Source organism: Homo sapiens, chromosome 13 (genome assembly GCF_000001405.40).
Source record: "Homo sapiens chromosome 13, GRCh38.p14 Primary Assembly".
NCBI classification, from domain to species: Eukaryota; Metazoa; Chordata; class Mammalia; order Primates; family Hominidae; genus Homo; species Homo sapiens.
Genome location: NC_000013.11, coordinates 45,616,937 through 45,635,536, shown reverse-complemented (window position 1 = coordinate 45,635,536; position 18,600 = coordinate 45,616,937).

The window sequence follows — 18,600 nt, the reverse complement described above, 5'->3', positions numbered from 1 at the left end:
ATATACCATGGAATACTATGCAGCCATAAAAAAGAATGAGTTCATGTCCTTTGCAAGGACATGGATGAAGCTAGAAACCATCATTCTCAGCAAACTAACACAGGAACAGAAAACCAAACACTGCATTTTCTCACTCATAAGTGGGAGTTGAACAATGAGAACATATGGGCACGGTGGGGAGCATTACACAAAGGGGCCTGTCAGGGAGTGAGGTAAAAGGGGAGGGATAACATTAGGAGAAATACCTAATGTAGATGATAGGTTGATGGGTGCAGCAAACCACCATGGCACATGTATACCTATGTAACAAACCTGCACATTCTGCACATGTACCCCAGAACTTAAAGTATAATAAGAAATAGAAATAAAAAATAAATTTCTATTTTCTTCGATTTGTGGGGGATTCCTTATAACAAAATACATTATGAATTATTTTGTTTTTTGAACAAACAAAAAGTACGTTTGCTTCTTAAAGGATATACTATTCTAGACAAATCTATTAAAACAATTAATGTTGATTGTATTATTTAATTCCTCTATGTCCTTCCTCTTGTTTATCTACTATTTATGTCTGGTCAAATTTAAAAGGAATGTAAAAAAATTTCCTGCTCTAATTGCTTTTCCTGAATTTCTAGTAGATTGCACTATGTTGCTACTATATTTATGCATAAGGTTATGTTTAGCATATATTCTTCATAAATTGAAACTTCAATCACTGCAACATGTTTCTGTTTATCTTGTTGAATGTTTTAACCTTAAATTCTACTTTGCCTAGTGTTGCCATTTCTTTCTTTCTTTGCCTTTGCCTTCTGTCTCTTTGCCTATAATTTTGTTTGACTTTTATCAACTAACACATGTTTATTATAAATGTCATAGGACTGAGCGTTCTATGCAGATATTTTGGAATGCCTTTACTATCCCTTCTTTCTCCCCATCTCAATTTCTATGTTTATGTAAGATAGTTTAGCACTTTGTTTTCCAGAATATTATTAAAACTTTCTTTGTCCCTTGTATTTCAAGACTACTCATTTAATATTCATATTACACACTTCCAATCTGACATTTTCCAATCATTTTATTATTTATTTATTTATTTATTTATTTTTTAGAGACAAAGTCTCACTCTGCCACCTAGGCTGGAGTGCAGTGGCGCAATCATAGCAGCCTCGAACTCCTGGGCTCAAGGGATCCTTCCACCTCTGCCTCCCAAAGCACTGAAATTACAGGTGTGAGCCACTGTACCCAGCTCTCCAGTAATGTTTCACCATAGCAATAGCTAATGTAACACCAACTGCTGTAACAGGTAAATCTTGAAATCAAAGAGGCCTGAGACAATGTCAGATTCTTTCACATTTCTGTAAAGTCAAATCTGAGGGAGGAAACCCTGCTCTGTGCAGTCACTCAGAAATCTAGGTTGAAAGACTTTGTCTTTCCAACTCCTGGCTTCACCCTAAGTGTCAGCATCTGACTGGCAGGGAGAGAAAGGGACAGCACAGGCCAGCCTGAGGGAAGCTTACAGCCCTTCCACCTGCATTCCACCAGCCAGATCTCAGTCCCGTGGCTACACCAAACTGCAAAGAAGTTGGAGAAGTATAGCTTTGCTATGTCCCCAGGACGAAGTGGAAATATATTTGGCCCATAAATTCTAGTCATTAAATATCCAGTTGATGAAGAACTACTCAACCTCACTCAAGAAATGCAACCCAGTCCAGGCACAATGGCTTATGCCTGTAATTCCAGCACTTTGGGAGGGTGAGGTGGGAGGAACACTTGAGGCCAGGAGCTTGAGACCAGCCTGGACAACATAGTAAGACCCCATCTCTCCAAAAAAATTAATTTAGCTGGGTGTGATTGTGCATGCCTACAGTCCCAGCTACTCGGGAGGCTGAGGTGAGAGAATCCCTTGAGCCCAGAAGTCAAGGCTGCAGTGAGCTATGACTGCACCACTGCACTCCAGCCTGGGCAACAAAGCAAGACCTCCTCAACTCAAAAAGGAAAAGAAAAGAAATGCAACCCAAAATCACCTCGTCACCACATCCAGCTCAAAATCCAGAAACTTTCCAGTGATGTAAAGTCTTCTCCATCAGGAGAAGCTATAGCCCTGAGCAGCAGTGACCTAAGAAATAAAAAGACAAGTTTACCACCCCACCACACATGTACGCCACACAGACCCAATCTGGAATGTCCCAAGCAGAGATAGAATAACCCCGGTAAAAACTCCCTTTTGGAAGCAGAAAGAATTGGAAGAGTCACAGTAGTTATGAGTCCACAAAGATTGTGAAGGCTTGCTTGGCAGGAACAATGAAGGCCCAGCCTGAGGTTGGGGATGTTGCTCGCTGAGGCCGTGATTTTATTCTCTGGATGAATAACTTGTTCTTATTATCCATGGCCCTTGGCCTCCATGCCTCTCTCAAATTCCTTGAAATAGTTGGTGAAAATGCCATCCCATTAATATGATATTTTCCATGGTACTAAATTTAATTTTTATTTTTATTTTTATTTTTATTTTGAGACAGAATTTCGCTCTTGTTGCCCAGGCTGGAGTGCAATGGCATGATCTTGGCTCACTGCAATCTCCTCCTCCCAGGTTCAAGCGATTCTCCTACCTCAGCCTCCTGAGTAGCTGGGATTACAGGCACCTGTCACCACGCCCAGCTAATTTTTGAATTTTTAGTAGAGACGGGGTTTTACCATGTTGGCCAGGCTGGTCTCGAACTCCTGACCTCAGGTGATCAGCCCACCTCGCCCTCCCAAAGTGCTGGGATTACAGGCGTGAGCCACCACGCCCAGCCTAAAATTTAATCTTAATGGGGACTAGTCGTTCACAATATTTCTCGATTTATCAAAAAGTCTAGAAGCAGATGACCTTTGCAACTTTGCACAGTCTCCGATTTCTGGATTCTCATATTCTCTCTCTCTCTCTCTCTCTCTCTCCTGGCTAGACACCATGGGCAAGCTTGGGAGGGATGAATTGAACACAGCAGAGCCTTCACAGCTGTGGCCCTGATAGGAGTGGAGGGCCTCCCCCACAACCTCCACAATGTTCTCACATGAGTGAGAAGTGAGCCTCCATTGTGATAAGCCTCTGAGCATCCAGTGCTGATCTGTCTCCATGGGTAACGTTCCTTAACTACATACTGGAAGGTTCACTGCTAACCATTTTTTTCTTTCTTCATTATATTCCATCTTGCTATTCTAATTTTTTATTTATGTTTCTTTTTCTTTCATATATTCTCTTCAGATGTGGATTATACATTCCTTAAATCATTGCATACTTACATACTTACAAATATATTTTCTTCCACCTAAAGTATGTAGCATATTTCTTTGGATCCAAGATTTCATCTATTGTAAAATGAACCATTATTTTATGTACCACTAAGAAAGAAAAAACACTTTTGATTCAATTAGAACATAATGCTTTCTTATAACTTGGAGATTTATTTTATAGTTATTGAAGGAGCTCTTTCAGGCTTAGACAGATACATATTTTTATTATGTTTTACTCTTGTGCATTAATAAAAACGAGAATTTGACCCAATAAATTGGGTAAGGCACTCCTAAAGCGTCTTCCCATAGAATCCTAAACTGGTCATTAACTCAGTTGTGACAATTTGTTTTCCCACAAAATATCATCTTCTCTACCATCGAGAGAGTTCCTGAAAGAATGCTCCATTATTCTTTCCAGGATTTTCATCCAAGCTACTAACATCCATTCTTCAGATGTTGATGCCATCATTTTTAAAAAAAATCTGTTCAGAATATTTCAACAGATTCATACAACAGTCAGTCCTAGGACTCATATTCATTTCTGGTCATTTAATGGTATGCATCAAGCCACTGCCCCAGCCAGAAGTGGGCTAGGAAGCTCCGCAATCCCCAGCTGAGGCCTCACTCACACGTAGAGTCAGATCTGCCTCATCAGAAGGAGTAGAGGAGCTGGAGTTGGAAATGGAAGGAAGGTGGGATGCATTCCAGTCACCACCTTCCCAGAAAGGCCTCAGCTTTTTTCTTGTATGTTGATTATAAAAGATGAAAGATATCTAAGTAGAATATAAAGAAATGGTCAGGGTACGCATACCATTCCATTTCTTCCCACCATTGGAACCATTATCTCACACCATGAGAAGCAGCTCAGCAGTTCACATCATAAGAACATGTGTCTGCCTATGGGAACTGATGTGGGATAGGAACAGAAGATATGACACAAGAGGATTAGAAGCTGAAACTTCGGAATGGTTTTGGTACAAACACACTGCATTCCCCTCCCCTCCACCGCTGAGTAGAAATTCACATAAGACCAGCAAAAAGAGCATTTCAACTTCTCAGGGAATTCATCCAGAATGAGGACTGGCCAGCATGGCTTAGATGATGGCCTCAGAGCCCTCCATTCGAACGTGGTCACAGCTTAGCCATGGGCAATTTACTTAACCTTTGCTTCCGATTTCTCATCGGTCACACTAAAAAGATATTCCCTACTTGAATGTGCTGTGAAGATTAAATGAGATCACATAAGAGAAACCACTCAGGGCCAGGCGCAGAGGAGGCCCTCAGTAAATCTGCATTCCTTTCCTAATTCTCATAATATTCTCGCCTGCCCTAGGGGCTACTGTGGCATGGTCTGGCTGGGTTCCCCAGGCTGACACACCAGAGGATGCCAACACAGTTCTTGGTCGTGCTTGAACCAATTCACTCTCCAATGTGTTGCCCTCAAATGCTTCAAAGTTCCTTGTTGAATCCAAGGCTGGTGGCTGCTTCTGCTCTTCAAATTTGAGTGACAAAACACATGTAAAGTACTAAGAACAGGGCCATACACCTAAAAGTACCTAGTCAATAGGATCTATTATTCTCTCTGCATCCTCGTTCCACCCCTCCGCCACCTTGTCTGTTTCTACTGTGTAAAAGAGGGAAGATAAACTGTTCAAAGAATCATGAAGCTAGTGAATGAGAGCAAAGGGAAAAGAAATGAAACGAGCAAAGTGAGGGGTGTGCTACAAAGAAGAAATAGAGAAATGTACCCCTCTGGTGCAGAGGAGAAAAAAAAATCCTGCAGCACGGCAAACAATGTGGATAATGACATGGAAGATAGAATTTTGCATACTGAACCTGCAAACCATAATAGCAGACTCCAAAAGCCTACCGTATTGCTGGGTAGTTGTGTCTTGGTGTGCACTCTGGGACACTTAAGTACAAAATTCTCACACTGTTTCAGGAACAAATGAACATAACCAGTGGGCATTGCCACTCAGAGTTCCAGAAATAAAAGTTCTCTAAGATGAGATTGCCTCGGATCTTAACAGGCTTGGAACAGAAAACAGGTCTTCATAGATAGTCCTCTGTACTGGTTTCAACCAGTCTTTCATTGACTTAAGTTGTCATCTTTCCAATGAGATATGGGGAGCCACCCTCTGGGGCTCAAAATAAAGTCTTGACTTGTCCAAGAACCCAGCCCTCTCACTATTTATGTTTAGCAATAAATACCTCATGCAAAAATAATGACCTTGGCTCCTGGGGCTTCTGCTGCTTCAGAAAGAACTCAAGTCACAGCTTTAGCCACCAGGCTGTCATCTGAAAGGGACACAGATTAGTAAACCAAGTGGTAATAATTCCTGGCTGGTACATAGCTTCTAGTTTCCCTTCATTTAATTAGCTCAGCCAGGTAAAGGCTGAGTTGTTTAGAATTCTTATTAAACTCCTATTGGAAAAGTTAAATCAATTATATCCCAAATGTTTAGAAAATAAAAGCATTACCCAGGAGTCTCAATGTTAAATCTCGGATTGAAACAAAATATACTGTATGATTTGTCTTAGGAAAAATCAGCTTCCCAACCATAACCTGAACAAGCTCTGACTTAAATGGAGCCATTAAAAGTGCTTCCTGCGGTACTCAGAGACAAGAGCTAATAATTCCTTTGTGAACTATGAAAGAAATCTATCACTGAGGCTTTGTTGGCAGGAACACAGCTTTAGGGGGTCAAAACACGAAGCATTCCCATCCTGACCCCACCACATGAACCCCTAATTAATTATGAGCATCCTAACGTGAAAAATACTTTCATAACTGAAGGGCGACCTATTCCCATTCATAAGCAGACCACAAATCAGTCATAAATCCCCAAACACCAAGAAGGAGCTGCTCAGTTTGTATCTGTGTTGAACTTCCAGTGTTGCATAATTTATATCCAAAATCCACTCTCATATATCTACTGAAATACCCACTCTGACCTTCGCTCCCAATCCTAACTGCATCAAAAGGAACTATAATCACTGGAACGCAGGCATCCAATCACAGTTCTGCTCTCTTGGAGCCAGGCAACTTTCTTCCCTTGATGAGTTCATCATCCCCTAGAACAGGTTATAAAAACTGTTCACATTTTGCGATAATAATTCAAAGTCTCTTTATTTTACACTGTGGCTCATCATCCGCCTGGCTGAACCAAGTGAGAGTGTAGACAAATGGAGCGGCCAGATTCCACGGAGCCTTCCGTTTATCCCTGCCTTGAGAACACTGCCCTCAGATCCATGCTCACACCCTGCAATGAACCTGCCCTCAATTTAGAAGCACTCTGCTTATGCCTCACAGACCTTACATCCAAAAGCAGCCTGAGCTAACTGGCAGCTCATATCATCTTTTTATTACAGCAAAGCTTTGCCTTGAGATGCAAAATGTTTCTTGATTCCTAAAAGACAATGTTCTCTTTGCTCAGTGTGGCCAGGGGAGAAAAGCTTTGAAAAATTCTTTCAATCCCTGGATACAGTTAAATCTGATCATCCTTAAATGCTGATGATACAAAGTTTACCTCTACCCCAAATCACTATACGAGCAGAGAACAAGAAACCCTGCGGCAAATAAGTGCACCATAAGAGGTTCCTTCCATCAGTTTCCAGGGAGATTCTCCAACGGGATCCAGGAAGAACTGTAAAGAAGGCTTGCTACCAATTGCCACCAGCATTGGGGCAGCTCAGGATTTTCCTTGGAAGCTATGGGGTCATCTATGTCTAAGAAGGGGCTTGGTCCATCCAGGGTGGTAGCAGAGGGCTCTTGGGCTGGGACAACCGCTGAGCTTGCTTCAGACCAGACATCCCCCGAGTTTGCTTCCAGAGAAGCAGTGTTCTTGTGGTTGGCATTTATCTGCCTTGTTCAAGGGACTCAGTCAGTGACCCCCACAGTAGGGTGCTTGACTGAAGCTCAGTCCCTCCAATCCACAAGGAACATATTGTGCTTGGCTCCCTACAAAGGCACATACAGCTTGTGAGTGTCACAAATGCAAGCTGATCACCCTGCTAAAAATAAGGTAAAGGAACTTGAAGCACACCTCTTTACCCTTTAGCTTATTAAGAGATTTAAATTTTCTAGGCAGGATATAACACAAGAAGGAAAAAAAAACTTCTATATGAGCCACCACGTACAGCAGAATTAGATCTGCTGTACAACCAAAGAGAGAGATCCACATGGTGTTTGATTTCTTTCTCTTTGTTTTTCTTTTTAACTATTCAGGGATTATTTTTTTCTTATGACACTCTCAAATGTGGTTAAGGGCTCTGTACAGTAAAGCCAAGATAGCAATGTGCTGATCTGTTTGTTCTTCTTATATTTCTGGGCCTGTAGATAATCCCTAGCCTCGGTTACCCTGGGGTACAACTTCTTATGGCTGGATGAGGCAAAGAGCTTGAAGACACATAAGGGAACTATTCATCCTGGAGGGTGTTCTTTCATTCTTCAATTACAGAAGGACCAAAGGAAGCACTGCCCTGGGGGAGGAAACACTGACTATCAATATATGAAAAGACAGGATTTTCAAAAACTAGTTTGCCCCTGTTGTTCTTTAGAAAAAAGTTATCTGAGTTTCTATTGTCAGAGCCATTCATTCTTAAAATGAGAAGATGGAAATCCAAATGAGACTAAGAATTGAGAAGCCTTACCACTAAGCAGGACATGATGCACAGAACCTAGTACGAGTAAGACCCTGATAAGGGTTAAAGCAAGCCCCCTGTCCCATCCCCGTGCCTGGGCTCTAAAAGAAGATAAAGGTAGTACCCTGCTTTGTAAAGAAAAAAGGTGCCCCTGGCAACTTTAGAGTATTCTACCAAACTGTAATATCTGGACCAATGTTAAAATGGATTTTCCCCAAGTCTGTTTGCAGTCATTGGAACAATATGAGGTAAAGAGAAGCCATCAGCTTGGTTTTGTGAAAAATAAATTGCTATCAGCCTAACCTCATTTGGCTCCACAGTGTAACAGGCAGATGCTAGAAAGCAATAGATGTTATCTCTGGAAACTTCAGTTAGGCTCTGGGGTCTCTTATTACTACCAGCAACCTAAGGAATTGGCCTTTGAATGAGTCATTTCGAGGCCAGTGGCTGAAGAGGAGAGAAAGCCTGGCTTTGGAAATGAAGGAGCAACAGAAGGCAGGAAGAGAAGTGAGGTCAGCTCACTTCCCCCTTGATTCAGGGGTAGGCAAACACCAGACCTAGCTCAAAGTGCACCCAGGAACTCAGGGTGGGAGTGCTGCCTGTGGAAATCAGCAGAATTTCTCTGAGCTCCAGGGAGTAACTCTATTTGGTATCCTTCTGTTTGTCCCCTTTGATTCTATTGCTTTTCACTGCTTCCTCTTTACCAGGTTTTAAAAATGCTCTGCCAAAGTCAATGCTGAGAAAAGAAACAACAACAAAAGTTAATCTGCTTTTGAAACTCTTTTCTAATGTAGAGGAACATATCTCTATTCAGTGCTGGTGGCACCTCACGGTGGCTTTTGTTTCGTCCTGGCAATGAAAACCGTTTTACTTAGTCTTACTTTTCTGAACTTCAGCCTAACTAATGAATGTTTTAAAAATTCTATTCTGAGTTGTAAATGAGTCTTGAGTAAGGTTTGGTAATAAGAAAGGTTAAATAAACTCTTGACTAAGATTAAAAAGTGAGAATACATTTGTACTGTTATTGGTAAACCATAACCTTTGTTAAAGGTTATTAAACTCCTATTGGAAACCTTTGGAACTGCTAAAACGTTATTAAACTCCTATTGGAAACTTTTGCCATTTGTCCTAGTTTGACAGATGTTTGCCTAGTTATCACATTCCCACTGGGAATGGTCCCAGTTCATGCCTATTGTCTGAGCAAAATTATTCATATCTTCACTGCCATAAGGGTCCCAGGCTGGATGACAAATCTTATACTCACCCCAGCCGTAAATCACAAGGAAAGCTTCTTTCCCATCGACCTCCCCTCCCCTAATAACCTTCTACTCCTTTCTAGCCCATTGCTTTTTTTTAGTTATATCATAGATCATTAATAACGTATTATTTATATATATAAATATATATATATCTCCCACTTATATCCAGAAGAAATTAAAATGGCTTGCAATGCATTCACTTGACAAATATTTATAGGAAACCTAAAAGGTCCATGAATACTACCTGAGGATATACCTATGCACGAAGCTGTTCAAATGAAAGTTAAAAGGAAAGGGAGGGTAATAAAAACCACAGAGAGCTGGGTGCAGTGGCATGTACTTGTAGTCCCAGCTACTTGGGAGGTTGAGGCTGGAGGATCACTTGAGCCCAGCAGTTCAGGGCTGTGGTGCACTATGATCACACCTGTGAATAGCCACCACACTCCAGCGTGGATGACACAGTGAAACTCCATCGCCAAAGAAAAACCCATCCACCATATAAAGGAAGAAGATGACTAAGCTAGAGACCATGGACAAAACCATAATTCTAATTCCTCCTATATTTGACTTTGAGCTTCCTAGTAGTAAAACCAAAAATAAATTACAAAATGTATCACATCAATTATATTTCCTGAGGACATGCAGCTTTAACATGAAATATCTTTTTTCTCCTGACACTAAATTCCATGAGAATTTAATTATACATTCGATAAATATGTATTGAGAACCTACTATGTCTCAGGCACTGTTCTAAGTAGGTTTTGGAATACAGAAGTGAACAAAACAGAACAGATAAAAATCCCTACCTCCAGGGAGCTCACGTTCCAGTCGGACAAGACAGACAATAAATAGAATACATCATGGGTCAGAGAGTGTAAGTGCTGTAGAAAAAAAGTAAAGCTGGATGGGAGAAAAGAGAGAGCTCAGAGAGGGGCTGCAGTTTTCATACAGCCTCCTATATACAGTTTCAATACATGGGGTTTAGGAAACCCCCCATTGAGAAGGTGACATTTGAGGAGAGTCGCAGAGGGGAAGAGGCAGCAGTTGTGTGGATATCTAGGGAAGAGTCTTCCAGACAGAAGGAAAAGCAAGTGCCCAGGCCCAGAGATGGGGGCACAGGAGACCAGTGTGGCTTGGCAACATGAATCAGGAACAGATGATGAGGACATCAAGTCAGGGGTGGGGCAGGGAAGGACGGGAAGTGGAGACCTTGGGGATTTTCCTCCCAAGAAGATGGAAAGTCACGGGAAGATTTTGAGTGGAGAAGTGTTAGCACCAGACGCATTTTAAAGGATGGTTCTGGCTGCTATGTTGAGCATGGATGTAGGGGAACAAAGGGCAGAAGCAGAGGGGTCAGTTAGGAAACTTGTGACAGGTCCCAGTCCAGAGAAGGTAATGAGAAACCATTCGATTCTGGACTGTGCTCGAGGCAACAGGGCTTGATAATAGGTTGCACGTGCGGAGAGAGAGAAAGAGGACTCGAGATGGTTGTGGGTTGCTTGGTCTGAGCAGTGGAGCTGCTGTTTACTGAATAACAAAGACTGAAGGAGAAGCAGATCATTGGGGGAAGATCAGGAGTTCAGTTTGGGCCCCATTAGATGTGATATGCCTACAGGACATCCAAGTAGAAATGTCAAGTCGAGCAGGTGGTTAGATATAAATCTGGGGTTCTTGTGAATCCTTACACTAAAAACATGGAATTGTAAGGTGGATGGCTTTAACAGATCTTTTTGCCGAAAGTATAGAAACATTTGTTTTAAGACCATTTTTATATTAGCCTGCAATAAAAATCAAGGGCATACTCTTCAATCATAGCTAAGTAAAGGCATTTCTGGAAGCAGCCAAGCTAGTATAGTAAATGTCCTGAAAGATGTTGCCTTCGGGAATCTAACTTGGAACAAGCGTAGAGCTTACTGAACCTGAAGGAATGGGCAGTTCACATGGACCTCAGGCCTGTCTCTTGCAATTGTGATTTCAAATTTGCCTTTGGCAAGGATGAACTCTTTGTATGCGTTCTCTGGGGTAGATGGTCAAATAGCAGGACCAACTTTTTTTTTATGAAAGCAAAAGAGTCTGATAAATTCTCACCCAGATCAAAGTCCATCTCACCCTTACTTGAAGGCAGGTCACTGGGATACCTGAAAGACCTATCAGAATTTTTCTTTAAAAGGAGCCATGAATTTACTCAGATGTCAGGCAAACCCAAAGCTGAGACCCTAGAATGATCAGCTGGTGTTTAGCAACAATTTGGAATTATTCAAATTAAGATTTGGTGTTTCCCTGGCGAAAGGATGGATCTCAAAAGGTAGCTTACACAGACAGATAAAAGGTAATTCTTTCCCCAGCCAAATAATAAAAGAATCTATAGTTCCTCCAGGCCACATCAGTCTAGAGAAAGAAAAATGTGCAACTGTCGGAAATGTAGCATAATATCAGCAACATAAATGGGGACACTTACATCACTGTTCAGTTTCACCTTGAGAGCATAAAAATCACAACTTTTTAAAATTTTTTGAAAACAGAAATTTAGTCTGTTTTGCTTAGCTTGTATCTATAACACCTCCTAGAACAATGCTACCACAAAGTAGGTGTTCAATAAAATATCGACATAGTAATCAATCTATCAACAAAAAAAAAATTTAAAAACAAAACTTAAGAGCACCATCTTGTGGAAGACCTTATCATGACAACAACCAAGACTCCAGTCACCAGCGAGTGGACATGGAAGTGTCTGTGTGACAGGGATTTAGGTCCAATGGACTGTTGGAAGTGATGGGCTAGGAAAGTTGTCCTGAAGCTGTGTTTGCACAACAAATACACTTTTTAGATTCAGGTGAGGTCGATAAAGATTATAGGGGGCTATAGAAGTTTCCCCAAGCCAGCCCTTGGCATTGCCCCGAGTATAATTGAGAGGTGTAGCTTTCAAAAGTAGTCTTTGACAAGTTTCTCATCCCCATCACCAGCAAAGCTTGTTGTCATAACCCAGCCTCAAATTCTTCCTTTGTGCTCAAGAGATCCTTGGGGTGTGGTCTAAAGAGTTCTTTGGACACTTCATAGGACCTCTGTCTTCCTGTTCCTCCTACATTCCTCCCCATACCCTCTGATACTGGTATGGACTTGGCCTCTCTTCTGTTTTCTCCAACTTTCTCCACATCAGGAGGAGGAGGGGGAAAGTCAGAGATCATCATCTGGTCACCTTCCACTTGCTTAGCTCCTATGGGATCACCAAGCAGAGCAGCCTTGGGTTCTCTGTGTCCCACATCTCTTCCACTGAACTTCCCTTTTTTGGAAGCATTCCCACCCCCCTCCCAAGATCCTGGCACAGGTCACCAAGAAACAATGTTTAAAAACCCACTAACATATACCTGGTAGGTGCAGGGTACTCATGATTCTTCAGGTTTTGTGAACACCTGGAGCTTATACAATTTGATGGACCCTCTTCAAGAAAAATAATATAAAATCATAAGTATGAATTTAGTTGCAAAAGTGAATATTTATTTAGAATGGGAAAAGAAACTGCAGGGATTCCCAAGCAAGTAGGCCAAATAGGAACAGCTCTGGTCTGCAGCTCCCATCAAGACCAACGCAGAAGGTGGGTGATTTCTGCATTTCCAACTGAGATACCTGGTTCATCTCATTGGTTATACAGTGGATGCAGCCCACGGAGGGCAAGCCGAAGCAGGGTGTGGCATCACCTCAACTGGGAAGCACAAGGGGTCAGGGAACTCCCTCCCCTAGCCAAGGGAAGCCCTGAGGGACTGTGCCGTGAGGAACAGTGCATTCTGGCCCAGATACTATGCTTTTCCCACGGTCTTCACAATCCACAGATCAGAAAATTCCCTCAGGTGCCTACACCACCAGGACCCTGGGTTTCAAGCACAAAACTGGGCTGCCGTTTGGAAAGACACCAAGCTAGCTGCAGGAGGTTTTTTTCATAACCCAGTGGCACCTGGAATGCCAGCAAGAGAGAACCATTCACTGCCCTGGAAAGGGGGCTGAAGCCAGGGAGCCAAGTGGTCTAGCTCAGAGGATCCCACCCCCATGGAGCTCAGCAAGCTAAGATCCATTGGCTTGAAATCCTCGCTGCCAGCACAGCAGTCTGAAGTCAACCTGGGATGCTGGAGCTTGGTCGGGGGAGGGGCATCCACTATTACTGAGGCTTGAGTAGGCAGGTTTTCCCCTCAGAATGTAAACAAAGCCACCTTGAAGTTCAGACTGGGAGGAGCCCACCACAGCACCACAAAGCTGCTGTAGCCAAACTTCCTCTCTAGATTCCTCCTCTCTGGGCAGGGCATCTCTGAAAGAAAGGCGGCAGCCCCAGTCAGGGGCTTATAGACAAAACTCTTGTCTTCCTGGGAGAGAGCACCTGGAGGAAGGGGCGGCTGTGGGCGCAGCTGCAGCAAACTTAAACGTTCCTGCCTGCCGGCTCTGAAAAGAGCAGCGGATCTTGCAGCACAGCACTCGAGCTCTGCAAAGGGACAGACTCCCTCCTCAAGTGGGTCCCTGACCCCCATGCCTCCTGACAGGGAGACACCTCCCAGCAGAGGTTGACAGACACCTCACACAGGAGAGCTCCAGCTGCCATCTGGCAGGTGCCTCTCTGGGACGAAGCTTCCAGAGATAGGAGCAAGCAGCAACCTTTGCTGTTCTGCAGCCTCCACTGATAATACCCAGACAAACAGAGCCCAGACTGGACCTCCAGCAAACTCCAGCAGACCTGCAGAGGAGGGGCCTGACTGTTAGAAGCAAAACTAACAAACAGAAAGCAATAGCATCAACATCAACAAAAAGGACATCCACACAAAAACTCAATCCGAAAGTCACCAACAGAGAAGACCAAAGGTAGATAAATCCACAAAGATGAGGAAAAACCAGGGCAAAAATGCTGAAAATTCCAGAAATTAGAATGCTTCTTCTCATCCAAGTTGTGATCCAAGAATCACAACTCCTTGCCAGCCAGGGAACAAAACTGGACAGAGAATGAGTTTGACAAATTGACAGAGGTAGGCTTCAGAAGGTAGGTAATAACAAACTCCTCCGAGCTAAAGAAGCATGTTCTAACCCAATGCAAGGAAGCTAAGAACCTTGATAAAAGTTAGAGGAATTGCTAACTAGAATAACCAGTTTAAAGAAGAACATAAATGATCTGATGGAGCTGAAAAACATACCATGAGAACTTCGTGAAGCATACACAAGTATCAACAGGCAAATCAATCAAGCAGAAGAAATTATATCAGAGATTGAAGATCAACTTAATGAAATAAAGCATGAAGACAAGTTTAGAGAAAAAAGAATGAAAAGGAACAAACAAAGCTTCCAAGAAATATGGGATTATGTGAAAAGTCCAAACCTACGTTTGATTGGTGTCCCTGAAAACGATGGGGAGATTGGAACCAAGTTGGAAAACACACCTTAGGATATTATCTAGGAGAACTTCCCCAACCTAGAAAGACAAGCCAACATTCAAATTCAGGAAACCACAAAGATACTCCTCGAGAAGAGCAACCCCAAGACACCTAATCATCAGATTCACCAAAGTTGAAATGAAGGAAAAAATGTTAAGGACAGCCAGAGAGAAAGGTCAGGTTACCTACAAAGGGAAGCCCATCAGACTAACAGCTGATCTCTCTGCAGAAACCCTACAAGCCAGAAGAGAGTGGGGGCCAATATTCAACATTCTTAAAGAAAATAATTTTCAACCCAGAATTTCATATCCAGCCAAACTAAGCTTCATAAGTGAAGGAAAAATAAGATCCTTCACAGACAAGCAAATGCTGAGGGATTTTGTCACCACCAAGCCTCCCTCACAAGAGCCCCTGAAGGAAGCACTAAATATGGAAAACAAAAACTGGTACCAGCCACTGCACAAACATACCAAAATGTAAAGACTATCAACACTATGAAGAAAATGCATCAAAAAATGGGCAAAATAACCAGCTAGCATCACAATGACAGGATCAGATTCACACATAACAATATTAACCTTAAATGTAAATGGGCTAAATCCTCCAATTTAAAGGCCCAGACTGGCAAATCGGATGAAGAGTCAAGACCCATTGGTGTGCTGTATTCAGGAGACCCATCTCACATTCAAAGAACACACATAGGCTCAAAATAAAGCGATGGAGGAAGATTTACCAAGCAAATGGACAGCAAAAAAAAAAAAAAAAAAAAACAAGGGTTGCAGTCCTAGTCTGTGATAAAACAGATTTTAAACCAACAAAGATCAAAAAAGACAAAGAAGGGCATTCATTACATAATGGTAAAGGGATCAATGCAACAAGAAGAGCTAACTATCTTAAATATATATGCACCAAATACAGGAGCACCCAGATTCACAAAGCAAGTTCTTAGAGACCTACAAAGAGACTTAGACTCCCACACAATAATAGTGGGAGACATTAACACACAACTGTCAATATTAGATCAACCAGACAGAAAATTAACAGAGACATTTAGGACTTAAACTCAGGTCTGGACCAAGCAGACCTAATAGACATCTACAGAACTCTCCACTCCAAATCAACAGAATATGCATTCCTCTCAGCACTACATAGCATTTACTCTAAAATCAACCACATAATTGGAAGCAAAACACTCTGCAGCAAATGCAAAAGAACGGAAATCATAACAAACAGTCTCTCAGACCACAGTGCAATCAAACTAGAACTGAGGATGAAGAAACTCACTCAAAACCGCACAACTGCATGGAAAGTGAACAACCTGCTCCTGAATAACTACTGGATAAATGACAAAATAAGGGCAAAAATAAATAAGTTCTTTGAAACCAATGAGAACAAAGACACAACATACCAAAATCTCTGGGACATAGCTAAAGCAGTGTTTTGAGATAAAATTTAGAGCACTAAATGCCCACAGGAGAAAGCAGGAAAGATCTAACATCGACACCCTAACATCAAAATTAAAAGAATTAGAGAAGCAAGAGCAAACAAATACAAAAGCTAGCAGAAGACAAGAAATAACTAAGATCAGAGCAGAACTGAAGGAGATAGAGATACGAAAAACCCTTCAAAAAAAATCAGTGAATCCAGGAGCTGATTTTTTGAAAAGATTAACAAAATAGATAGACCACTATCCAGACCAGTAAAGAAGAAAAGAAAGAAGAATCAAACGGACACAATAAATGGGAGATCACCACTGATCCCACAGAAATACAAACTACCATCAGAGAATACTATAAACACCTCTACACAAATAAACTAGAAAATCTAGAAGAAATGGATAAATTCCTGGACACATACACCCTCCCAAGACTAAATCAGGAAGAAGTCGAACGCTGGAATAGACCAACAACAGGTTCTGAAATTGAGGCAGTAATTAATAGCCTACCAACCAGAAAAAGCCCAGGACCACATGGATTCACAGCCGAATTCTACCAAAGGTACAAAGATGAGCTGGTACCATTCCTTCTGAAACTATTCCAAACAATAGAAAAGAAAAGCCTCCTCCCTAACACATTTTATGAGGCCAGCATCATCCTGATACCAAAACCTGCCAGAGATACAACAAAAAAAGACAATTTCAGCCCAATATCCCTGATGAACATCAATGTGAAAATCCTCAATAAAATACTGGCAAACCGAATCCAGCAGCACATTAAAAAGCTTATCTACTACAATCAAGTCAGCTTCATCCCTCGGATGCAAGGCTGGTTCAACCTATGCAAGTCAATAAACGTAATCCATCACATAAACAGAACCAATGAAAAAAAACAAATGATTATCTCAATAGATGCAGAAAAGGCCTTCGATAAAATTCAACACCCTTGATGCTAAAAACAATAAACTAGGTATTGATGGAACGTATCTCAAAATAATAAGAGCTATTTGTGACAAATCCACAGCCAATATCATACTGAATGGGCAAAAGCTGGAAGCATTCCCTTTCAAAACCAGCACAAGACAAGTATGCCCTCTCTCACCACTTCTATTCAACATAGTATTGGAAGTTCTGGCCAGGGAAATCAGGCAAGAGAAAGAAATAAAGGGTATTCAAATAGGAAGAGAGGAAGTCAAATTGTCTCTGTTTGCAGATAACACGATTGTAGATCTAGAAAACCCCATTGCCTCAGCCCCAAACTCCTTAATCTCATAGGCAACTTCACCAAAGTCTTAGGATACAAAATCAACGTGCAAAAATCACAAACATTCCTATACACCAATAACAGACAAACAGAGAGCCAAATCATGAGAGAACTCTCACTCACAATTGCTATGGAGAGAATAAAATACCTAGGAATACAACTTACAAGGGATGTGAAGGACCCCTTCATGGAGAACTACAAACCACTACTCAAAGAAATAAGAGAGGACACAAACAAATGGAGAAACATTCCATGCTCATGGATAGGCAGAACAAATATCATGAAAATGGCCATATTGCCCAAAGTAATTTATAGAGTCAATGCTATTCCCATCAAGCTACCATTGATTTTCTTCACAGAATTAGAAAAAAGCTACTTTAAATTTCATATAACCAAAAAAGAGCCCGTATAGCCAAGACAATCCTAAGCAAAAAGAACAAAGCTGGAGGCATCATGCTACCTGACTTCAAATTATACTACAAGGCTACACTAACCAAAAAGCATGGCACTGGTACCAAAGCAGAGATATAGACCAATGCAACAGAACAGAGGCCTCAGAAATAACACCACGTATCTACAACCATCTGATCTCTGACAAACCTGACAAAAACAAGCAATGAGGAAAGGATTCCCTATTTAATAAATGGTTTTGGGAAAACTAGCTAGCCATATGCAGAAAACTGAAACTGGACTCCTTCCTTACACCTTATACAAAATTGACTCAAGATGGATTAAAGATTTAAAGTAAGACCTAAACCATAAAAACCCTAGAAGAAAACCTAGGCAATACCATTCAGGACATAGGCATAGGCAAAGACTCCATGGCTACACCACCAAAAGCAATGGCAACAAAAGCGAAAATTGACAAATGGGATCTAATTAAACTAAAGAGCTTCTGCACAGCAAAAGAAACTGTCATCAGAGTGAATAGGCAACATACAGAATGGCAGAAAATTTTTGCAATCTATCCATCCGACAAGGGCTAATATCCAGAATCTACAAGGAACTTAAACAAATTTACAAGAAACAAACAACCCCATCAAAAAGTGGGTGAAGGATATGAACAGATACTTTTCAAAAGAAGACATTTATGCGGCCAAGAAACGTATAAAAAAAAACTCATCATCACTGCTCTTTAGAGAAATGCAAATCAAAACCACAATGAGATACCATCTCATGCCAGTTAGAATGGCAATCATTAAAAAGTCAGGAATCAATGGATGTTGGAGAGGATGTGGAGCAATAGGAATGCTTTTACACTGTTGGTGAGAGTGTAAGTTAGTTCAACCATTGTGGAAGACGGTGTGGCAATTCCTAAAGGAT